The 26,247-nt window shown below is 37.1% G+C and overlaps 1 protein-coding gene across 1 annotated transcript in view; it reads right to left on the bottom strand.

The window, feature by feature from the left end:
* CPQ (carboxypeptidase Q) overlaps positions 1 to 26,247 on the bottom strand; it is a 498,260-nt gene that overhangs the window by 245,682 nt on the left and 226,331 nt on the right. Inside the window, exon 4 of the mRNA NM_016134.4 lies at positions 17,815 to 18,022. Within this exon, the coding sequence (NP_057218.1) occupies positions 17,815 to 18,022 (208 nt within the window). The remainder of the gene's footprint in view (positions 1 to 17,814; positions 18,023 to 26,247) is intronic.

Below are 26,247 nucleotides of genomic sequence, written 5' to 3'. Positions count from 1 at the left end.
CAACCAAACAAACAAACAAAAATTCACCTCCAGAGTCTCACATGTTGAGTATTCCTTGTCTGAAATGCTTGGGACCAGAAATGTTTGGATTTTGGAATTTTCAGATTTTGGAATATTTGCATATACATAATGAGATATCATGAGGATGGGACCAAGTGTAAACACAAAATTAATTTATGTTTCTTATACACCTTATACACATAGTCTGAAGATAATTTCATACAAATTTTTAATTATTTTGTACATGAAACAATTGTTTTACTACCTTTTGACTGTGACCCAACATGTGAGGTCAGGATTTTCCACTTGTGGAGTCATGTTGGTACTCAAAAAGTTTCAAATTTTGGAGCATTCCAGAGTTTGTATTTTTAGATTGGAGGGGCTCAACACGTGTTCTTCTTTCATACAGTTAGTAAGGAAACAATGAGGCAAGTAAAAACCATTTAGGTGTCACTGTCAAAGTCCACACATACTCTAATATCATGACTAGATAAAAAAGAGCATAGAGGTTGAGTTTGTGGTCTACTTTTCTTAGGAACTAATGAAGGTCCCTAGCCCCTACTCAAGTTCAAAATAAATTATCTTTCAAAATTAGTTAATCTGCTACGTTTTTCTCACCACTCAGGTTTATACATTTGCCCCTTTGAATGCTAAAATAGGTTACAGCACTCTGAAAAAACAATCTTCCTATTCAATACTGTCCTTAAAACACTATGTCTAATAATGAAAAGCAATAACAAAGTATGATAATACTGCCTCAATTTTAATAGAGTAGCATGTGATAACATGGTGCAGAAAGAGTAATGGTGTGGGAATCAGAAGATGGGGATTCCATATCTTTCTCTGTTGGGATAATCCAATATGGAAACCACATTGAGGGTGTTTCCTAGACTAGAAACCCATAACAATCTTAAATTTCTAGTCCAGTTTAACCATTTTATTTTAGTCATTAGCTTCTGCTGGTGCAGAAGGCATAACTTTTCTTTCATTCATTAGCTCATTCATGTTCATTCATTCATTTATGTTCTTTAAAGCAATTTTGAGTTCCCATTAGATGCTCCTATATGCACATAAATAAGGTATGGGATTTGTGACAAATTTTATGGAAAGCATAAAAAAGAGACCTATGGAAGTTCTGAAGAGAGAAACATTGTATATGGGTGTGTAATTAAGAGAGGCTTCTCAGGGAAGGTGCCATTTCAGTAGGCTCTTGAATGTTGTCTGATGAGCAATCAGTGCTCAGTAAATACTTATTAAGTAAATTAATTTTATTGAAACAATCAACAAATAAATGAAAAAAGACTGAGTAGGTAAGATTTCAACAGTCAGGTTAGAAAAGGGGGTCAGTATGAGGAAGGCACAGAGACAGGAAAGTGACACCAAATACATGGAACAGAGTCTTCTGGGAAAAGACTCTAGAAAATAGGCAGGAAAAGGTATGACCAGTATATCATCTTGTAGATTTAAAGCTTTGAATGCCAGATTCAAGGACTACTGGCTATTATCTTACAGGAAGTGTGAAGCCATGCCTTTTTAAAATAGAGTGTTGATAGGGGCATAGTAATATAGAGCCATACTTAAGGAGTATTGGTTAGGGTGGTATGCAAGACAGGTGGAGAGGGAAAAACTCAAACAGAGATGTTAAGATAGCATCTCTATTGTCTGTACAATATCCCCTGAAGGATGGAGAAAGCACTGGGTCCAGTGCTTTGATTCCAGTGCCCTCATTTGCTTTGATTCCAGTGCCCTCATAACCAGTCAAGGTTCTTAGAGTCTTATTATGAAAATACACAAATGGAGATTTACAGTATAAACTCAAAACCCTTCTGATATAAACATTGAGGGAAAAGAGAAGAGAGAGCTACTTCCAAATCTGGTCAGAAGAAATTTGGAATGAAATATTGTAATTTTGCAAAGAGATGAGGCATAACTAAGGAAGAACATGCATTAACTGTCCATAATTGCTGCTAAAAATTCACATGACATTAAATTAGTTTAACCTTAAATTAAGAATCAAGAATGTGCAGAGAATAATAATGTTCTCCATCCAATCATTCATGCTTAATTTAACTGACAGTATAACTGTGACAGCACACTTGGGCACATGGCCACAGTGGTCATCTCAGAATCTTACAAAGGCAGTTCTCTTGGAAGGGAGAGAAACCATGTTAACCTCTTCCTAAGCTTCCTACTGATTATCATTTAAAATTACCCAATTATCACAAAGCCCATAAACAGTTCAAAAGACACATTCAAAATTCACTAGCTACATATTTATTTAACTATGACATCATTTTTCCTGAAAGATTCATGTATAATCAAAACATCTAATACCAGGTTAAGTAAATTGCAGGATATCCATTTGTTAGAATAACTTAAATACATTAAAAATTCTGTTTCAAGGGATATTTTGCCTGATGTTAAACAACAACTAGATTTGACAGTATCTATAAAATATTATAACTTTATAAAGATACTCATAGAAGAAAATAGAGTGAAAGAAGTGCAGCAAGATGCTAACAGCAACTGTCTTTCAATTAATGTATTTCCAAGTAAAACTTCTTTTCACTTTTCTCTTTATTTCAAATGAGTAGGTATTAATTTTAATTAAAAACCCAAGTTAAACATGCTTAGAAAAAAACTAAGCATAGTTTTTTTCACCAGGAACTTCTATTAACTCTAGAAAACAGTAGAGCTGCAACTGGGATGCAAAGTGATTTTTGCAACCATAAAGGGTTGTTTTATGGGCCTATCACAGTGGGTAACACACGGACGGCACTCAATAAATAGTCAGTCAATGAGTGAGGTATGGTGGAGAATAATGAGTCAATTTGGCCAATTCTCTTTTGTAAAAATTCAGTTGGTTAGCATGATGCCAAGTAAAACATATAATTGGTTATAAAATGTTAATTTCTACCTGATTGTTGTAACAGAATTGGTGCAGTGAAATCCTGCAGAAAATCCAGGTGTTCTTCATTAGTTAATTCTTGGCTCTACATTTAAACTAAAGTTTTCAAAACATGGAACCAGACAGTTCTAGTGAAGTAAGAAAACAGGGAAGTGGCTTTTCTGGATAGCTTAGACTCTAACTAAAAATTTATACAGTACTTTAAAAAAATTTTGAAGTAAATATTTCAAACAATGTTTTAATTGCTTTCCTATCTTTTAAAATAGTCCATATAGAACTAAATTTCTTGCAGACTCAAAGTCACTCTTAAGAACATTTGTTGTTATATTATGATATATTACATTTCTTGGTGTGATTTTTATCTTGTGCTGTACTGTGCAGTTTCATAAATGTACCTTGCTGTGGCACACTTCCACACTTTTTTGCATACACTTGCCTCTTTGCCCAGAACACCTCCCAATAAATTCCTTGTCCACCTATAAGTTCCTACTCATATTTGTCACATTTTAGTACCCATCTTTTGTGACAGCTTAGACACAGTTATTCCTTTCTGTGTATCTTGTGCCCTTTAATTGCTGTATTAGTTTACCCCAAAACTTAGTGGCTTAAAACAATAAACAGTTATTATCTCACACTGTTCTTGTGAGTCAAGAATCTGGGAGTGGCATAGCTGGGTGGTTCTGGCTTAGGGTCTCTGATAAGGTTGTGGTCAAAATATTGGCCAGGGTTGAAGTCATCTGAAGCCTAGACTGGACCTGTTGGATTTACTTGTTAGCTAGTTTGTACTGGTTAATAGCAGAAGAAGTCAGTGTCTTACCACCTGGACCTCTCCAAGTGCTCCTCCCAGCGTGGCAGCTGGCTTCTCCCAGAGCAAGTGATGCAAGAGAAAGAGCAAGGAGGAAGCTACACTGCATTTTATGTTCTAATCTTGGCTGCCATAACCCAGCACTTCTGCAATATTCTGTTCACTAGAAGTCAGACACTAAGTACAGTACACATGCAGGGGAAGAGAATTCGGCTCCACCTTTTAAACAGAAATTTTAAAAAAAAATGTGGACATATTTTAAAACTACTAAAATTGCTCTCATTACTTCACTATATTGTAATTATTATTATTTAAAGGCTTTCATTTTTTAAGGTTGTGTTTCAGGTAATCCTTAAAGCATTTATTTTATGCTATATAAAATTGCAGGGCTCTAGGTAATGACTACAGCAAGTTATAGAGAACCACATTTTGAATCGTATTTTCCACTTATTTTGGTGTGTGCCTGACCTTAGTCCAATTATTTTGTCCCTCTGAATCTCAGCTTCCTCATCTTTAAAGTGGGAATCATTATTATCAGTCCTATTGTTGGGATTATGTGGGACAATATCAGTGAGGGCACATTACAAATTGTAAAGTACTATATGCAGACATTAGTACTGGGCCAGCAAGGACACAGTGCTGCAGGCCCTGCACTAGTGCTGCACAGTGTGAGCTCTAGAACTTACTGCCTATTTTCCTCACCAGCCACGGGCAAGGACCCTTTTATCTTCTTTATTCTCATCCCAGAATATTTCCCAAGCTTATAACATAGCGTCCTGCACATAGTAGTTGTTCAACAAGCATTAGTTGCTGTTGATGCTGATGGTTGTCCTGGTTTTCTTTTTCATTTAGAGTAAAATGGGAAACTCTTTAGGTAGCAGCACTTCACAAACTAGAATAAAAAGGCACTAAGAAGTACAGGATAATGAATTGTTCTTGGATAGGACAGATGAATTTAAATCCCAGCTCAGCCACTCAGAAGCTTTGCAAATTCTGTGACCTCTCTAAGCCTTCGTTTCTTCATCTGTTATATGGATATAACAGCATTGCTTGTTTGACAAGGTTGTGGTGAACATTAAAGGAGATAATGTATGAGAAACACGTAGACTACTATGTGTCATATACACTTGCCATGTACTAAGTATTCTATAAATGTATATTATTCCTCATCTTCTGATTATGATTATTATTAAATGGCTCCATCATTGAAAAAGGCAAGGTGTTCAGACCTATGAAAGATCACATCCTCCTGCTTGAAAATCCCATTTTGGCAAATTAATATGACTTGATTGGAGGAAAGAGTAACCTACAAGGTTTTCCTTGCCTACCTGGGTGGCTATCTATCTAAAACAGTCTGTCTGGCTTCAGCTATTTCCATTTGCTGTCTTTATGAGCCCAGAGGCATGCACAGCTATGAGCACATTTCAGAAATTTGAAAAATAAACAATGAAATGTCTCATGCTTGCCACACATGTATTTTTCCTTCCATGATTTAGGTTGGCTGGTTCTAAGCCATAAAAAGTTTATAATAAGAAAGAAAAAAAGAATGAATTTGCCAGCTTAAAACTCTTTAACCCCACCCCCCTGAAACTTTCCAACTCAAGGTTAAAATGTGAACAAACGTTCCAACCAATATGTTCATGAAACATTTAATAATTACTTTGCTTATGAAAGTTTAAACAGCTGCTTAAGCTAGTAAAAAGGCTCCCACCCAGGCAGAATAACCTGCTGTTCCCACTAAGAAGGTTTTTACAAATCATCAGACTACATATTAAGATGAAAGGCAAAACTGCATTTCTGTACAGTCTCTAACTATTCAGTTATGTATGGAATGAGTTTATCCACCAGGCCAATCAGGTTTGGTTTATTCTTTTGACAAGGGTCTTGACAGCATCAATGCTAAAGCTGTTCTCCAAAGGGATTACTGAGCTTTTCAATGATTTATTTCTAAAAACACATATACATTAAAAAAGCCATGTCTTTGTCTTTGGGTTATTTTACAGGATAACTCCATAAAAACAGGATTCATTAGCAAATGAATTCAGAAGTTAAAGGAAGTCACATCACGTTTCTTAAAAAAAAGAGTAACACTACTCTTCAGGCTTTCACATGTACTTCCTCAGCTTGTAATATACCTCATCCCAACCCCATCCTTATAATCTCTAGCATGCAGTTAATCTTCTTTTTAGTAGGAATAAACTGAATCTCTCCAGAAAGCCATCCTTGGCTTCCTAGACCAGGACGGTTGCCCTCAAATGAGCCCCTATAGAAGCATGTAGCTGCCATACTGTGGCACTTACCACCTTCTATCACTGTTGCTTGTTTAATTGCCCATCTTACCATGCAGCTATGGTGCTATGAGGGCAATTTGACAATATTTGATAATGGGATAATATGTATATACAAAATTTTAAGGATGGACCTCTGAGTGGTCAAAAACTGTGAAAATATTTGTATCCAATGTGAGTGCTCACCAAAGGGTGACCTCAGCAGAGGGGGATTTTAATAATCAAGTGGACAGGATAACTCATTCTATGGACACCACTCAGCCTCTTTCCCCAGCCACCCCTGTCATTGCTCAATGGGCCCATGAACAAAGTGGCCATGGTGGCAGAGATGGAGGTTACACATGGGCTCAGCAACATGGGCTTCCACTCACCAAGCTGACCCGGCTACAGCCACTGCTGAGTGCCTAATTTGCCAGCAGCCGGGACCAACACTGAGCCCTCGATATGGCACCATTCCTCAGGGAGATCAGCCAGCTACTTGGTGGCAGGTCGATTATATTGGACCTTTTCCATCATGGAAAGGGCAGCAGTTTGTCTGCACCGGAATAGACATATGGGTTTGCCCATTCTGCACGCAATGCTTCTGCCAAGACTACCATCCATGGATTCATGGAATGTCTTATCCACCGTCATGGTATTCCACACAGCATTGCCTCTGACCAAGACACTCACTCTATGGCTAAAAAAGTGTGGCAATGTGTGCATGCTCATGGAATTCACTGGTCTTACTATGTTACCCATCATCCTGAAGCAGCTGGATTGATAGAATGGTGGAATGACTTTTGAAGTCACAATTACAATGCCAACTAGGCGACAATACTTTGCAGGGCTTTGCAGGGCTCGAGTGAAGTTCTCCAGAAGGCTGTGTATGATCTGAATCAGCATCCAATACATGGTACTGTTTCTCCCATAGCCAGGATTCACAGGTCCAAAAAACAAGGGGTGGAAATGGAAGTGGCATCACTCACCATCACCCCTAGTGACCCACTAGCAAAATTCTTGTTTTCTGTTCCTGCTACATTATATTCTGCTGGCTTAGAAGTCTTAGTTCCAGAGGGAGGAATGTTGCCAGGAGGCACAACAATGATTCTATTAAATTGGAAGTTAAGGTTGCCATCTGGACACTTTGGGCTCTGCCTACCTCTAAGTCAACAGGCTAAGAAGGGAGTTACAGTGTTGGCCGGGGCAACTGATCCGGATTATCAAGATAAAATTAGTCTATTATCCCATAATGGAGGTAAGGAAGAGTATGCATGGAATACAGGAGATCCTTACGGCATCTCTTAGTATTACCATGCCTTGTGATTATGGTCAATGGGAAACTACAACAACCCAATCCAGGCATGACTACAAATGGCCCAGACCCTTCAGGAGTGAAGGTTTGGGTCACTACACCAAGTAAAAAACTACGACCCACTGAGGTGCTTGCTGAAGGCAAAGGGAATACAGAATAGGTAGTAGAAAAAGGTAGTCATCAATACCAGCTACAACCACGTGACCAGCTACAGAAAGAGGACTGTAATTGTTGTGAATATTTCCTCCTAATTTTGTTAAGAATATGTAGATGTATACACTTGCACTAAGAAAATATCTTCATTTTCTTTTTCCTTTGTCATGTGACGTAAGAGTTATTGACTTCATATCAGTATTTAAGTATTGTTAACTTTATGTAATAGCATTTAGGTTAACAATTAGTGTGCTCCGGGTTGCACAAGAGATAGCTGTATTATATTAGGCATAATTATTGTCTTTATTTGGAGATTATATACGATTTCAGGAGATGTGTATGGGTTCAAGTTGACAAGGGGTGAACTTGTCATGGTTAATATTAAGTGTCAACTTGATTGGATTGAAGGATGCAAAGTATTATTCTTGGATGTGTCTTTGAGGGTGTTGCCAAAGGAGATTAACATTTGAGTCAGTGGACGGGAAGAGGCAGACCCACCCTCAATCTGGGTGGGCACCATCTAAGCAATGGCCAGTGAGGCTAGGATAAAGCAGACTTGCTAAGTCTTCTGACCTCCACCTTTCTTCTGTACTGGATGCTTCCTGCCCTCGAATATCAGACTCCATGTTCTTCAGCTTTTGGACCCTTGGACTCAGAGTAGTGGTTTGCCAAGGGCTCTCGGGCCTTTGGCCACAGACTGAAGGCTGCACTGTCAGCTTCCCTACTTTTGAGGTTTTGGGACTCGGGATGATCCACTGCTGGCTTCCTTGTTCCTCAACTTGCAGATTGCCTATCATGGGACTTTACCTTGTGATCGTGTGAGTCAATTCTCCTTAATAAACTCTTGTTCATATACACATATATCCTATTAGTTCTGTCCCTCTAGAGAACCCTAATACACCCAGCAAAGTAGGAGCTCAATAAATTCCTGTAGAATTAATGGATGAATTCTCCTACTCACCCAAACTGCACTTCTACCTCTTTTTCTCTCATATACCCAAACTTCAACAACTCCTGCCAACTTTATTTCCAAACATTTTCTGAATCCTTCTCCTCTTTTCCAACACTATTTCAACTGTCTTGGTTTAAACTCTATTATCTTCTGGCTGAATTTCAGTCTTTGCCTACTCAAAAGTATGCAGTGGCCAGAGTAAGCTAAAATGAAAATCCACTGCTAAAACGCAAATCCACTGCTAAAACTCTACAGTGCCTTCGCGCTGCCTACAGGACAAAGCCCTGGCCCTTCACATGGCATGTCAGACCCACCGTGGGCTGTCCCTCCTAATGGGCCTCTCCTATTTCTCAACTTCTGCATAAGTTCTCCCATCTTCAGGAAAGGCTGATGTTTACATCCAGAAAGGCAAAATAGTCTACCAACAAAATATAAGAGACAGGATGCAAATTTTACAGGTTATGCTCAGAGCATACTGCCCACCCCATGCTATTGCTATAACCTTAGTGCCTCACACATACCAATACCCAATAAGTAAATAGATGCTGAATTAATGTAAGAGCAATTTAAAAAGAATATAATAAAAAACACTAAAACATAATCTACCCAGCAAAACTCATGCCTCATCCTACTGTTTCACAAAATGTTTTATGTTAAGATACTCTGTGAAAACAGTGTTCCATGATCAAAAATTTGCAGAATACTGCAAAGCTACCTCTTAAAGATTCCCAGTGCACATCAGCACATTAAAGGCTTAAGAAGTACCACAGAAAAAGGGAGCCTGTTTAACTTTTTGAATAGGAAAGTTCCCAACTGTATTCGAACACAGAATTTAAAAACAAAACAAAACAGCAACACCCTTACTCTGTAAATAATGCTTTTCTCCAGCACCAGCTTTAGAAAGGGCTTCCATGACGTCTTGTTGCTATTTAACAGTACACAGAATTTACCATTAGTGTGATGATAAATTTCATCTTTAAGTATTTTTTTTCATCTTTCAGTATTTTTTTAATAAAGGAATTTTAGGGCTGGCAATGACCTTCAAGCTTTTTCAGACAAAGTTCCTCCTTCTATAGATGAAGGATTAAGCCACTCAGCTTATTTGTGCCAGAAATAAAACCAGAACCAAAGCCTCACAACACCCATCTAGTCTTCCTTCCATTACTCCACATCAGTGACTCTCAACTTGGGGTGGCTTTTGTCCCCCAAGGGACATTTGGCAATGTCTGGAGACATTTCTGATGCTCGAGACTGCAGGAGGTGTGGTGTGGGGTAGGAAGTGACATTAGTGGTTAGTGGCCAAGAATGTTGCTAAACACCCCACAATGCACGGGACAGCCCCCTACAACAAAGAATTATCTGATCCAAAGAGCCAACAGAGATGATGTTGAGAAATCCTGCCCCACACTGAAAAAAGAAAGTGAAGTGTTCAGTTAACAAACTAGAGTTTTCATTTCAATGTTCCCCACTAGCCTTCACAGTACTGTACTATATTTAAAATAATACTGGCATATAAAACTGAATTTGTTCTTTGAATGCATGAAAATAACTGCTGTAAGAAAAAGGCATGTTAAAAAAAAAATTCACTGCATCAAGGCCTTATCAAAATGGGTTTGAATACCATCAACCGCCAACCACTCCAAAATCCCAAACACTTTCCTTTCCATACAATAACTTCAGAATAATTCATGAATATATTAACATTTTAAAAATATTGCCTTTACTAAGCAAACCTCAAAATAAGACCTAGGAAATTGCTGGGGATCAAAAGAAATGGGCCAGCCCCAAGAGTCAACATTAGAGAATCCATTACTGGTGAGAGAGAGTCCAGTTTAGGATCAGTTTGTCCTCTGGTCAGGTCAATTCAAGCACAACCTTCCTTCTGTGTTTATTTGTTCATCTGTTTGTGGAAAATCATGAAAGCATCATAAATTAAAACTGGAAAAAGACTAAGGGGGCTAAAGTCAGAGCAGGTCCACCCTGCACTGGGTGCTACACAGAGATGCCCACAAGACAGCCCTCGCTTTCCAAGAAAGCAGCTCGCTCTCAGGAGTCTCCTCTCACCAGTGTCCTCAACAGGTTAATGTACTATGGTTACGTAAGATGTTATCACTGATCATGTTAGCCTGGTCAAAGCATACATTTGAACTTTCCGCACTATTTTTACAATAGCTGTGAGTCTAAAATTATTTCTAAAAAATTTATTTTACAATATAATATGATTAGTAGTGCATCTATTTTGGCTTTTTCTGTTGCCCTCTGATAAAGATGGACCTGAGTAGCTGATTGGTGAAGGGGTGTGAAAAGAGGCACAGGGGAACAAGGCGTCATAAAGAGTCATTAACACCCCAGAAGTGATGCATTCATCAGATCCTCTTCCAAAGTGACAAGGAGCTAAAAAGAAATGACCCAAGGAGGACTTAGAGGGAGGATACATAAAATCAATGGATCAAGCACAGGCGACTTTCCCAGGTGAAACTCCTTCAGGGGTGCTCTAAGGAAACTCTGAGACGACAAAGGACGGTAGATATGAGAACTCTTTGTGCTTAGGGAAAAGATGTCAGGAGAAAAAGCATGAGAGAAAGGTACAATTTCTCCTATAAAAATGACTTGGTAAGGATGGAACTGCCTATATCCTGAATCAATGTATAGCCCTCAAATTTATACACCATTCAACTAAGGCATGCCCAGGCATAATGGAATCTCTTAGAGGTTAAAAGAAATGGGAGTCCAGAAATCTAGAGTTATGTTCCAGATGTGTTTGTACCACATATTTGCTGTGTCCCCTTGGACAAGTTCTCCTTGGTCAATTTTCCTAATCTGAAAGTCATAGAGTTTGTACTAAATCTCTAGGATCCCTACTCTCTGTCTCTGCCTCTAAGACTATTTTAATTGTTAGGATAACCTCTATAGAGTTAACAAAAAATAAAACCTATTCACAGATGGTAAGAAGTTTCCTCTGAATTTTCAAATGCAAAGTAGTTCCTTGATAAGTGGGGGTAGAAATAATATTGCTATTTTAGTACCATGAAGTATCAGCTCAGAAATCAAAAAGCGCTCATTTTCACCTACTCGGATTTATTCTCAACCATAGATGGGTCTTAAATATACCATGATTTCCCAGGGATAAAGCTGTCTTGAGAGAATGCAGTTCTGAGGCTAATGTCAGAGCTTCCAGAGGACTGCTTTAGCCCCAGTGAAGTGCACTCATGCACACTGTCCAAGATCTTCTGGGTCCTGCAAAACATGCCCAAATCACAGAAGAGTACAGTTTCTGAGGAAGTCAGAGTGGAGAGAGAATTCTGGGCTTAGAGGAGCCAGAATGTGCCACCATCGGTTTTTTGGAAAGAGGGTAGATTTTAGGTATATATTACCCCTATTCTGCTATTTTCACAAAGTGAAACCCAATAAAGTATTTTCATTATTGGCTTTTTTTTTTCTGTTGAGATGGAGTCCCACTGTGTTGCCCAGGCTGGAGTGCAGTGGTGCGATCTCCGCCTCCCAGGTTCATGCCATTCTTCTGCCTCAGCCTCTCCAGTAGCTGGGGCTACAGGCGCCCGCCACCACACCCGGCTAACTTTTTTTTGTATTTTTTAGTAGAGATGGGGTTTCACTGTGTTAGCCAGGATGGTCTCCATCTCCTGACCTAGTTATCTGCCCGCCTCGGCCTCCCTGAGATTACAGGCGTGAGCCACCACGCCTGGCCTATTGGCATCTTTTTAAAGCCTGTGGTTAATTCGGTCCAGGCTTATGGATGAATTATGCAACAGGGTTTTGAAATGTACTAATACTTTATCAATCACATATACACTTTTCTAAAGCTGATATTTACCACATTTTGCCCATGGGTTTTGGGCCAAAATGGAAGGATTATTTACATGCTAACTGCTTTACTTTTATTAAGGTTCTCTGCATGGTTGATGAGATGTAAGGAACTATACTGGGTGTTATTACTGAACAATATCTATTAGCCACTGCCTAGTGTTAGTCCATGCAATGTTTTGCATATGTCACCCGAAAGTTCATGTGTTGAGAACTTAATCCCCAATGCAACATTGCTGGAAGGTGGGGCCTAATATGAGGTAATTAAATCATGAGGGTTCTGCCATCAGGAATGGATTAATATGATTATCAAAGGAATGGGTTAATTATCTCAAAAATGAGTTTGTTATAAAAAGGAGTTTGGTCCCCTCCTGCTCTCTTGCTCTCACCATCTCTTGCCCTTCCACCTTCTGCCATGGGATGATGCAGCATGAAGTTCCTTAGTTCCTTGCAAATTGCTGGTGCCATGCTCTTGAACTTCCCTGTCTCCAGAACTCTGATCTAATTTCTGTTCATTATAAATTACCCATTCTATGATATTCTTCAATAGCAGCATAAAACAGACTAAGATACCCACTTTCCTCCCCTCTGCCTACTTTCAAGTCTCCAAAGATATTTGCATTATTCTGCAGGCAGAATAATGATAGTTTCAACAGACCTTCTCCTTTTATAGAGATAATTTCCACTGCAGCTAATTTTATAAGTTATTTAGCACCACTATTCTTTAGTATGCTATGGAGCAAAGTAGCAAGGTTGTGTCAGGCAGAAGTTAGTCAACCTAAATTATAAAAACCAACTTTTAAGTTACTGTTAGCATTACTGATAACTTAAAAATGAATGATTTTAGGAAAGTCTGCTAGACTTTGGAACTGAACTCCTTCCCTGGCCTATGAAAGATCAGTTCTCAGTTGACCTTGAATCTCCACCAGACATTGCCTTTCACCATCATACATTTCCTTTTCCCCTTTCTTCATTCTCATTTTCTGTTCATTTATGAATGGTACCATATAATTTCTTCTTACTATAACTGCCTCTTATCTAACCCTGACTCCCCTCTCTCTTTGTCTTTTTTTCTCTGTCTTCTGCTCACCTCTGATTACTCACCTCAGCATTTATCTTCATCACAACCTTTATCTTATAAGAAACAGGAGAGAGGGACCTGAAAGCAGGGAATCACCATGTTGAGATCAAATGTTTTAAAATAACTTTGAGCCTCATTGCAAAGAAGTATGGAAAAGACCAGAAGAAAAAAAATCGGGGGGAAATAGTGAGGGCCTGAATTAAGGCAGTAGTAGCAGTAAAGGCAAGGTAGGAACAGAATTTTTTTTTAATATGCTGAAAATAGACTGAATAGGATGTGATACCTGACTGTAGGACAGTGATAAAGGAGAGGGAATGAAAATTAACTTGAAGTTTTATAACTTTGCTGTTAGATAAATATGGTTCATTTAATAGAAACAAGAAACAAAGACAAAAAATCAGGTATGAGGGAGCCAATGTGTTCATATTTGGACATGTTGCACTACATTCAGGGATGAGGTTCAATGTGCCAATGAACAATTGGTATTCTAAAAGGGCAGTAAAACTTCCAGATTTAAAGAGGATCAAGATTAGTAACATCCTCCAACCATTTTTTTCTTACTTACTCCTTCATTTTACCAAAATAAAACATGTGTTGAGAAGCCACTGCATGCCAAGTTCCTGAAATAGCCATTAGGGCGGGAAAAAGGAAAAGAAAGGAAATAGAGTGAACAGAGTGCCTGCTCTCAGGGCATTTGCAAGTTCTGCTAGGAGATGACACCATAACAGTGGCATGAAGTGTTGGGATGAGGGGAATGTTATCAAAGCAGTCTTCATGGAAGAAGCGACATTTATTGGGGATAAGGCCATTCTTTTTCAGGCTCATTAGTCAACTTAACACCTGCAGAGGGACTTCATGCTTCTTGCTTGCCTTCATAGTCTGTATGTCCCCTGCGGTTCCAGGCCAGCTAGAATGCAGATTCCCTCCACAAAACGCAACCACAGACTTGACTTTACTGTCCTCATTTTCATTTTTTTCTGTGAAAGTAATGCTGTTACTTCTTTGTGGAAGAAGTTTTGTTAAACTTCTACCTTTTACATCTTGGTAACAAAGTATTTATGATCAACTCTTGGAATTCTAGGCAACATCCTAAATCTCATGATTGCTCTGAAATTGTCCATCTACCTTCTGGGAGAAGGTGCTACCCCGACAAAATACAGAGTGAAGCATCTTGACAGAGAGAAGGGTACTTAAATTTAGGCCAGTCCAGCAATTCCACTCCAAGATATTTACTCAGAAGAAAGGAAAACATTAAGTCCACAGAAAGACTAGTACAAGAATGTTCACAAAAGCTTTATACACAATAATCAAAAACTAGAAACCACCCACATATCCATCAATTGCTGAATGGATAAACGAATTGTCATATATCTGTACAATGAAATATTACTCGGGGATATAAAGGAAGAAACAACTGAATCAACAACATGGATACATCTCAAAAGCATTATGCTGAGTGAAATAAGCCTCACAGAAAATGACTACAAATTATATTATTTCACTTATATATGAAATAATAATTTAAAAAACAACTATAGCTCTAGAAAGGAGATCACTGGCTGCCAGGGCAGGGTGGTAGAGTCGGAGATGGACTACAAAGGAACTCAAGGGAAACTTTGGGTGGTGGAAATATTATATATTATAATTGTAGTAGTGGTTACATTATACATTTTCCAAACTCATCAAATTGTACATTAGATTGGTTGATTTATTTTATATAAGTTATACCTCAATTCAGCTGATTTTAAAAAATAAAAGAATGAGTCAGGCTGAGCTGACAAATAGGCCCAAGCCCTCCTAGCCAGAAGATGTTAATGTCCCTCATGAAGCTGTCAGAGCCAGCACTATCTCAGCCCTCTGGCTCTCAAGAACTCCTCTGCCTAAATACTTCAGCCTCAGATTCTGAGACTCCATAGCTGCTACAGACTAAGGATCCCAATAACTCACTCTCACCCTGCCACCCACCTGCCCACAACCTTAGGCCAGCTCACCCAGCCTGCTCGACCAAACAGCGATAGTATTATAATCCTAAACCCTTCAAGCCCTGGGCTAGCTACCTGATGATGACATAACTTTACCCTGGAACTACTGACTGGGGAAAATACCTGGGAAGGATTACACTTTAAGGCATCTGACTATTTAGCATCTGAAATATAGACTCTTGGCTCTTCTGTTGTTATCAGTTTCTTAAAGGGACAAGGGGCTGGGCTTGTCTATTTGAAACCACCGTTTCTCTACAGCTGTCTGACTCCCTGTGATTCTACTGAGTTCTTGTTTTCCATCATCCCTGTGGCAAAAGCCATGGTTGATGCCCAGGTCCTTGAAGCAGATGATTTTAGAAGAGGGAAAAGAGTCCTGAGCTTAAAATGAATCTTTACTGCAGTACAGCCCTCAAGTCTGGGAGAAGTCCTGAGTCCTGAGTCTCCCAGTCCTTAGTCTGGGAGAAGTCATGTGCATAAGACTTGTTTCTCCATCACCAAATGCCATCACTCTTCACCCTTTCCTTCATCCCACTGATGCTGTCAAATAAAATACAAGTCTGAAATTTCTAAATAACATTTTTAAGTTCCATTTCTAGAATTTCAATAACAAATGCATGAGATTTGCACCAGAAACCTTATAAAAAGTGTTTATTGCACACTTGATGCCATACAAAGGAAACTTACATTCAGTGAGCTGTGATGTGCCAAACACTCAACAAAGCTATTTGATGTGCCTTACCTAATCTAGTCCTCACAATAATTCTGTTAATTACTTGCATACCATCCCTTTATTTGCAGATAAATTCATGAACTCTGGAAACTGCACATAAACTGTGGTTTAAAGCTTGGTTTAATATTCACAAGATCCTGGGTCTGAATTCCTTCTTAGCTGCCTACTTAGCTGTGTGGACCTTGGGTAATTGAGTTTCCTTCTAGGTTTGTTTTCTCACCTATAAAATGAAGAAACTTCATATGATTTAGATCTGTGTCCCTGCCCAAATCTCATGTGGAATTGTAATTCGAATGTCGGAGGTGAGGCCTGGTGAGAGGTGATTGGATTATACAGGCTGTTTCTCATGAATGATTTAGCACCATCCCCCTGGTGCTGTTCTTGTGTTAGCGAGTTCTCATGAGATCTGGTTGTTTAAAAGTGTGTGGCATCTCCCCTCCCCTTTGCTCCTGCTCCTGCCATCTAAGACACCTCACTCCCCCTTTGCCTTCTGCCATGATTGAATGCTCTGTGAAGCCTTCCCAGAAGCAGATGCCGCCATGCTTCCTGTACAGCCTGCAGAACTGTGAACCAATTAAACCTCTTTTCTTATAAATTACCCAGTCTTAGGTATTTCTTTATAGCAATGTGAGAATGGACTAATACAGAAAATATATGCAAATTCACTAAGCTTTGAAAGGATTAAATAAGATAATTAACACAATAAGTATTAACTATTGGTTTTATCTCAAATGCCAGGCTAGCTTCAAATGGAATAAATACAACACGTGGACAAATACCACTCTCAATTGTTCCGAGGTTGAATTTCCACATCACGAATACCATTCTGTCCTTCAATTACTCCTGCCCTTCTTCAGTCAATGTGCTAAAATTTTTATTTTTTTATTTTTTAAACTTTAGATTCAGGGGGTATATGGACATATTGTGTGAGGCTAAAGTTTTGGCTTCAGTTGAACCCGTCACCCAAAGAGTAATGTAGTACCCAACAGGTAGTTTTTTTAAACCTTGCTTCCCTCTCTCCCTCCCCGATTTTGGAGCCCCCATTGCCTATTCTTCCAGTATTTATGTACACATGTACCCAATGATTAGCTCCCACTTGTAAGTGAGAACATGCTTTTTGTTTTTCTTTCTGTATTAATTCACTTAGGATAATGGCCTTCAGTTGTGCCCATCTTGCTGCAAAGGACATGATTTCATTCTTTTCTATGGCTGGGTAGTATTCCATGGTATATATATATATATATATATATATATATATATATATATATATATATATATATATATATGACCATATATTTGTTTTTTAGCCAGCCCACCATTGATGGGCACCTAGGTTGATTCCATGTCTTTGCTATTGTGAATAGTGCTGCAATAAACATGTGAGTGCAGGTATCATTTTAGTAGAACAATTTACTTTCCTTTGGTTACAATACACAGTAGTGAGATGGCTGGGTCAAACGCTAATTCTGTTTTCAGTTATTTGAGAAATCTCCAAACTGCTTTTCACAGGGGTTGAAGTAATTTACAGTCCCTCCAACAACATATAAGTGTTCCTTTTTCTCCACAACCTCACCAACATCTATTATTCTTTGACTTTTTAGTAATACCCATTCTGACTGGTGTGAGATGGTAAACATGGTAAAATTTTGATGAGAAAAAATATATATAAAGCTTCTGCCTTCAACGAATCTATGAGGACCATCTAGGTGGTTTCACGTTCTCTCTTTCCCAAACTATCTCTAATAACTCAAACTAGACCAGGAAACTGTATTCTTAGGCCAGCCTTCTCCTTCACTCACCTGTTCTGGATATTTGCTCCCAGTGATCTCTGCTACAGTGTTGAAGGAATCAGTATCTGGGTAGGTCTTTGCCCCCATCTTTAGCTGAATGACAATTTTGATCCCATGAGAAGCCATTCTTGACATCATTTCTGCATCTTCCACCGTAATACAGGCTGTTGGAATCTTGGGCACGCCATCCTGGTATTCCTGAATACCTGTGTGAGGACTTGAGAGAAGAAGCCACCAGGTTACCTTGAAAGTGGAAATAGACCAAAAGACTTTTTTGAAAGCACCTGTATATTGATATTTAACTTCCACTTATCTTTGTTTGCATCTGGGAAACAGGAAATGTGGGAAGTATTGATTTACTTGCTTTTGATGTGAATGTAATTTTTATTTTTTGTTAAGAATAAATTAGAAACTTCAATTTAATAATCATCATATGTAAATTATTTGATAATTTGGATATCCTTCAAAGTTGCAAATTGACACAAACTCTGAAGGACATTAATAGTGCCTTCATGATCAAAAGGTACACACATCTGTACAAGGAGACAAGGGAACTCTGAAGTTTGTCAAGGCTGCAGACCAGAAGATCCACATGTCTGGAATAAAACTGGCCCAGATACATGTAGTTCTGTGGTTACTGCCTGCCAGTGGGCCTACTCTCTTCCCACCCAAACACAGAGGTCTAAATCTATAACTCCACATTGGTGGTAGAACACCACGCAGGAAAAGTGTAGAACAATGTCTGGGAATATATTCCTATTCTCATAAAGAAAAGTTGCTGAATAAATCCAGGCCTTTAATTTTACTGCCACAAGAGAAAAAAAAACTATTATACTTTTGGCACTAAAGGAGAAATACCATCCCAACTGGTCAGATATTTTCCTGTTAATTTCTAGATGCTTCTTATATTCATAGAAACACTTATAATTGAAGCCTATATTAATCTGTTGATTCAACCTCTGTATCTACTAATGGAGCTTATCAAAGTCATTTTCTAAAATTGCCCTTTCAAACTGTTCCTTTTCACCCCTGAGGTGTGGCTCCTAACCCTCCCACACCACAGTGCTCTCAGGACCAAACTGTCACAGCTTCCAAGTGCGTGCCACAGTCTATTCCTATCTTCTGTTAAAGCATAGGCTAAAAACTTCACTTTTGAAAATCAGATTTTCTTTTCATATTTCTATATTTGTTTCAGCTTGTCTCATATTTACAGAACAGCCCTCCTCCTCCTTTCACCCACAACACATTTCTCTCCAACAGATGATAGCTTGGTGCTTATCTCCTATAGAAGCAGCTCCAGTCTCCACATGCACAAACACAATGATGCATTCTTATCTCTAACTACATTCTTGGTGTGACTGTATTGTTGTAGCCATATTTCAGGTGACTATTTACTTAGAGAAACTGCAATGTAGAATTGTTAAAAACAGAAGGTCTGGAACAAGACTGCTTGGGTTCAAATCTGGGCTTATTGCTAACTGGCCCAGGGCAAGTTACCCACATCTTTGTTTCAGGGGTGTCTTCTACAAATGGAAGTGATAATAATACCATTTCATAGAGTTATTTTGCAGAAATAATTAATTATACAACTAAATCACTTACCCTCAAACACATTAATCACTCAATGCATTTTAAATATTTATTTTATTAACTTGCTTATTCAATTATCCCTGCAGAGACTGTCTAATCTCAAGTGATTAGTACCATCTGAGTATACCCTCTATGAACATTTCTAAAAAGTAGACTGCAAGCCGGGCATGGTGGCTCATGCCTGTAGTCCCAGCACATTGGGAGGCTGAGGCAGGTGGATCATGAGGTCAAGATATCAAGACCATCCTGGCCAACATGGGGAAACCCCATCTCTACTAAAAATACAGAAAAATTAGCCAGGTGTGGTGGCACATGCCTGTAATCCCCAGAGATTACAGGTATAGCGAGGAAGGAGAATCACTTGAACCCAGGAGGTGGAGCTTGCAGTGAGCCGAGATCATGCCACTGCACTCCAGCCTGGGCGACAGAGCGAGACTCCGTCTCAGAAAAAAAAAAAGAAAAGAAAAGGTGGACTGCAAATTTTATTATTCATCAAAAGGAGTACAAAGACTTATCTTCCAAACCCAGAACTTGGAATACAGAGACCCTGAGTCTAAATCCCTGGGATGCATATAATCTATTCCAAATTCTGGTTCAGGTTCTGGGGTCACTTAACCTAGGTCGGATCCCAGCTCCAGCATTCTTTGCAACTAAGATTACCTCTTTGTTTCTAAATTTCCGCATTTGTAAAGTGGAGAATAATGTTAGCATTGACCTCATAATATTGCTATGAAAAATAAAAGAGATAGTATACATAAAGGATTTAAGACAGTGTTTGGCACATAGTAATTACTTAGTAAAAATTAGTTGTTATTACTTCTTTGGTGTTAATTTTTCCCACTGAGCTAGTGGAGTGATTAATGACCAAAAATTACCTTGCAACATGTAGGAAGACAATCTAAATATTTATTATTCATATTACCTTACGTGATGTCTGGGATTCAACAAACTCTCCTTGTTCTTAGGCTCTTACCCAAGAGAAGGTCAGTATAACACTTCTTAACAGGCTCTTTTAAGTAGTGTTTCTAGACAGATTTGTACTTATAGGTTACTGGTAAGACTTCTTAAAGTGGGGACAGTGAGCCGGGCATGCACCCATGGCTCAGCTGAGGAGACGGCACTGAAAGGCATCTTCTAATTTTAATTTAAGATATAAAAACCTTTGAATTTGTTTCTGCAACTAAGCATGTCTTCCAATGGTGGAGCATCTATCATTGTTTTATAGAAGGAGGCAAAATGAAGACTCAGTTTTATTTAAAATCCTCTACTTTCACTGTAGTAAAATTATTGTAAAGGGACCAATCAGCACAAACACCACCGTCCTGTCCCCATTTACAAGCCCCTTCTGCAATTTATAAAAGCAAAGGGTAAACTACCAAGGAAGCCATAACTAATCTAAATAAGATTTAAAGATTAATAACAATCCTCTATAAATTCTTACAAAAAATAGAAGAGGAGGGAACCCTTCTCAACTCATTCTACAAGGCCACCATTACTGTCATCAAAACCAGACAAAGGCATCACAACACAAGAAAAGAAAACTACAGACCAAAAATCCCTTATAAATATAAATGCAAAACATCCTTAACAAAATACCAGCAAAGAGAACCGGCAACATATAAAAAGGATTATATACCACAAACAAATGGGATTTATCCCAGGAACACAAAGTTGATTTAACATCCAAAAATCAATTGATGTAATATACTATTTTAATATAATAAAGGACAATACCACATGATTATCCCAGCAGATGCTGAAAAAGTATTTCACAAAATCTAGCACTTTTTTATGATAAAATCACTAATCAAACTAATGAAAGAGAACTTCCTCAATCTGATAAAAAGCATCTACAAATATCCCACAGCTAACATCATATGTAATGGGAAAAGAATGAATGCTTTTCCCCTGAGATCAGAAATAAGCCAAGGATGTTTGTCTCCCCACTCCTATTAAACATTTTACTGGAGATTCTAACCAGAGGAATCAAATAATAAAAAAATTTTTTAAATTCCATATTGGAAAAGAAGAAGTAAAAGTATCTCTTTTCACAGATGACATGATCTTTTTTTTTGAGTAAGTTAATATTTTTAACAAAATCTTATTCTAACTAATTCTTTAGTTTTATATTAATGTATTTTTAATATCAAAGCCAAATTTCTAGAAAGAGTGACATGATCTTACATATAGAAAATCCTAAGGAACACACATACACACACAAAACGATTAGAACTAATTAAGAAGTTCATCAAGGTTAGCAGATAAAAGATCAGCATACAAAAATCAATTGTGCAGCAGCAATGAACGATGCAAAAGCAAAACAATAGCAAAGAGTAATCTGAAAATTAAATTAACTAAGCAATCCATGTAATTCATAATAAAAACAATAAAATAGAACAAATAAATTTAACCAACATGTGAAACCTGTACACTGAAAACTATAACATATTGTTAAAATAAATTAAAGATCTAAATAAATGGAAAGATGTTCATGTCTATAAAGTAGAATACTTAATATTGTTAACATGGCAATGCCCCTCAAGTTGATTTATGGATTTAACGCAATCCATATCAAAATTCCAGCTGCTTTTTTTAAAAAAAGAAATTGACAAGCTGATTATAAAATTCATATGGAAATCATTCAAAATAAACAAAACAAGTTAGAATTTTAAAAAAAGAACAAAGTTGGAGAACTCATACTTCCATATTTAAAAACTTACCATAAAACTATAGTAACCAAGATAGCATGGTACTGGTATAAGGATAGATACATAAACCAATAGAGTAGAATTGAGAGTCCAGAAATAAACCCTTCTAGGAATGGCCAATTCATTTTCAACAAAGATACCCAGACAGTTCAACAAGAATAGAACAGTTTTTTCAACAAATGGTTCTAGGCAAACCAGATATCCACATGCAAAAGAATAAAGTTACATTCTTAAATCATGCCATAGACAAAACAATTTCAAAATGAATCATAGCCTTACATGTAATAGCTAAAACTACAAAACTTCATGACTTTGGGAAAGGAAATTGTTTCTTAGAGACAACACCAAAATCACAAGCAACAAAATAAAAAATAGATAAATGGAACCATCAAAATGTTAAACTTTTGTGCTTTAGAGGACACCATCAAAAAGTAAAAAGGCAACCCATAGAATGGGAGAAAACTTTTACAAAGCATATATCTGATAAGGCACTTGTATCTAAAATATATAAAGATATTTAACAATTCAATAATTTTAAAATCCAATTATGAAAACGGGAAAATAATTTGAATAGACATTTCTCCAAAGAAGATACATAAATGGACTATAATTACATGAAAAGATGCTGAACATGATTAGCTATAAAGGAAATGCAAATCAAAACCTCAATGAGATGTCACTTTCCATCTAATAGGATGGCTATTACCAAAAAGAGATAAAAACAAGCATTGGGGAGGATGTGGAGAAATTTGAATCCTTGTACATTGCATGTGAAATGGCATAGTTACTCTGGAAAACAATTTGACAGTTCTTCAAAAAGTTAAACATGTACTTATCACATGGCCCAGCAATTCTACCCCTTGGTATATATTATAACGAAATGAAAATATATGCCCACATGAAGAAATATTACACACAAATATTCATAGCAGCATTATTTTTAATAGTCAAAAGGTAGAAACAACCTTAATACCTATCAAATGATAAATGTGTAAACAAAATGCAGTATAGCCATATGATGAAATTACTCAGCAATACAAAATGACATTTGGTACATGCTACAACATGGATGAACCTTGAAAACATTATTCTAAGTGAAAGAAGCTAGTCAAAAAAGACCATATATTGCAAGATTCCATTTGTATGAAATGTCCAGAACAGGCAGATCTAGATAGAATGTAAATTCAATAAAGGAAATTTTAGGTTTTAGATAGAAAGTAAATTTTAGGTTGCCCAGGACTGGCAGGGGAGAGTGGAATATTAATAGGTATGAGGTTTCTTTTTGGGATGATGAAATGTCCTAAAATTAGTTGTGGTGGTTGCACAACTCTGTGAATATACTAAATCCATAGAGTTGTGCAAGTTAAAGGAGTGTATTTTATTGTGTCTGAATTATATCCCAAATAGAACTTCTATTATAAAAGTCAAAATAAGAATCCTAAGTTTCCAATTTTCCTTTAAGGAGAGAATCCTAGTATCTATCTCATTAAAAATTTATACTTCCATGGACTTGGCTTATGAGATGTGTAAAAGCAAAGCCTGCTGGTGTTTGTGCTTGCAAGATAGTACACCCAAAATATAAAATGAACATGAACAAATATAAGTCTTAATCAGTTTTTCAAATTTCATCAAATTTCTTGTGTATCTTATGAAAAGTGACATCATTTGAAGCCAGCTGAATATTTTCCTTTGATCTACATAAAATAAATGCAGTGCTTAAATAAATAAGTTTGAAATTTCCCACCTGATTATCACACATCAATCAAACTCCCTTCATGTCAGGCAGTTCTGACTAGCTTCTTATAAAAGATACCAAGCACTTTATGTTTCTGAGCATTTCAAAATTTGCAAAGCTCAAATCAATCCTTGAAAGTGAGTGTCAGCTTATAGGTTAAATATCCAACAAGAGGACAATTATATATCTCAATGAAGAATATATAAGTCTGTGCAGGGGCATATAACACATTGACTAAGATAAAAATTATTCACAAATAGTTTAAAGCCTTGGAATGTTTCCTAAAAAAAGGTCTGGAAGTGGGAATTGTAAAGATTGTGAGCTTTTGAAGGTATAGTCTTTTGTTTCCATAGAGTTTTTTTTAAAGCTTCTAATTAAAAGAGCACTTATTTTGCTTAATAGAAAAGCTTATTTGATTTAAAAATCAACTTTAAAATAACTCTTGGAAAATTTTCAATTGACTTTATTAATTTTTTTTAATTTAGCACCTTAAGAGTAAATTTACCTAAGACTTTTATACTGTCATTAACAACAATAAGAGAAAATCCATCTCAGACTTTTAAACTGTCATTAATAACACAAAAGCAAAAAGTTTCATTTACACCATAATTCACAAAGGGGGAGCACTAAAATATTCCCAACTCCCACAGGTTTAAAAAAAAAAGAGAAGGAAAAGAAATCTGCTCAAGAGAGAGGAGATGGGACTAAATTTCCTTCCTAATTTTTATGATTCATTTGAAATGGCAGAAGAGAGGCAAGAAAAAGTCAAATTATTGAATTCTATTCCATATTGATGACAGACTCCACATGAACAAAACTCAACCGATATGTTTAATATCTTATGTTCATCCGCAAATCTCAGAAGAACACCATTACAGGGTCAGAAAAACGTAGCTTCTTCCAAAGTAAAGGAAAGCAGCCAACTCCACAAGAGTGCAAGGAAGAAGGAAGATGGTCAAAATGTTAAGGGGAATAAAACTGTTTGGTATTTAACATCCACACCATACAGGAAGGACTTTTGGCTTTTTTCTCTTAAACATAAAAATATAAAGAAGATTCAAAGATACAGGAGGTAAGTGCCTGTGAAATAAAGATAAAAGAAAAGTTAAAATAGCTAAAATTTTACACTTAATGTTTTGTGAGCTAGAAAGTATTGAATAAATATTAGCTTTTGTGTTTACTGTACATTCTGTAACCCATAGTAAACATCACAAAATATATGAGTTTCCTTGTTTCCTTTCCAATTTAATTCTACCGTATGTTAAAATTTCTGCTTACTTGCACATCCTATTGGTTTTGTTTCTCTGGATAGTCCTGACTAATACAACCACCATTAGTCGAGTTTTCTTTTATTTGCAGACAAATATATCCCAATGTTTGCCATGACCAAAATGATAAATCAGTGCATTATATATTTTCAAATTATAAATATTAAGAATTTTCTCTCACAGATATATAACTTCCTACCAACTAAGTAAATCTAAATTAAAATTACTGTAAGAAGTTATTACACACCTAAATTATAATAAAAATCTGGTACCGTATAAGCTATGGGAAAATTACACATACAGTTTAAGCATCCCTAATCCAAAAATCCAAAATCCCAAATGCTCTGAAACTTTTTGAGCACCAACACGATGCCACAAATGGAAAATTCCACATGACTTCTGTGGCCAGTGGCAGTCAAAAATGCAGTTAAAATTTTGTTTCATGCACAGAATTATCAGAAATATTTCATAAAATTACCTTTAGGTTATGTATATAAGGTGTATCTCAAACACAAGTGAACTGTATGTTTAAGACTTGGGTCCCATCCCTGTGATATCTCATTATGTACATGTAAGTATTCCAAAATCTGAAAAAATTCAAAATCCAAAACATTTCTGATCCCAAGTATTTTGGATAAGGGATGATCAATCTGTATAACCAATGCTGGTGGCACTTAAATTAGTTTGATCTTTCTAGAGTGTGATCTCCCAAAATGCAGCAAACCTATAAAAATTCTGATTTTGTTTTGGTTATTTTGCTTTGGAGAACAAACTCATCGCCAATATCGTAAAAAAAGAAAAAATAATTTGTACTAAGATGTTCTCTGCATCTCTATATATACGTTGAACTCTAGAAGAAACCCAGGACAGAAACTTCAGGAGAGGAAGTGGCAAAAGAGAAGACATCTATGACACGTAAATGGGTCGAAAGCAGTACATAGAAATGTAGATGAAATAATGTTAAGTTCAAAGAAAATAACTGAACACAGTACACACAGGATAGAGATTGAACATGAGTTTTCAATGATGTAAACTGAGTTCATATTCATTGGGTTCTTTGAGAAACTACAGTCACCCTCTTAAACTGTAATCAAGCAAACTGCAGCATCACCAATAAACAGACTTAAATTCTTAAAAACAT

The sequence above is a fragment of the Homo sapiens genome, chromosome 8, assembly GCF_000001405.40.
Source record: "Homo sapiens chromosome 8, GRCh38.p14 Primary Assembly".
Lineage (NCBI taxonomy): Eukaryota > Metazoa > Chordata > Mammalia > Primates > Hominidae > Homo > Homo sapiens.
This window is presented reverse-complemented; position numbering and strand designations above follow the sequence as displayed.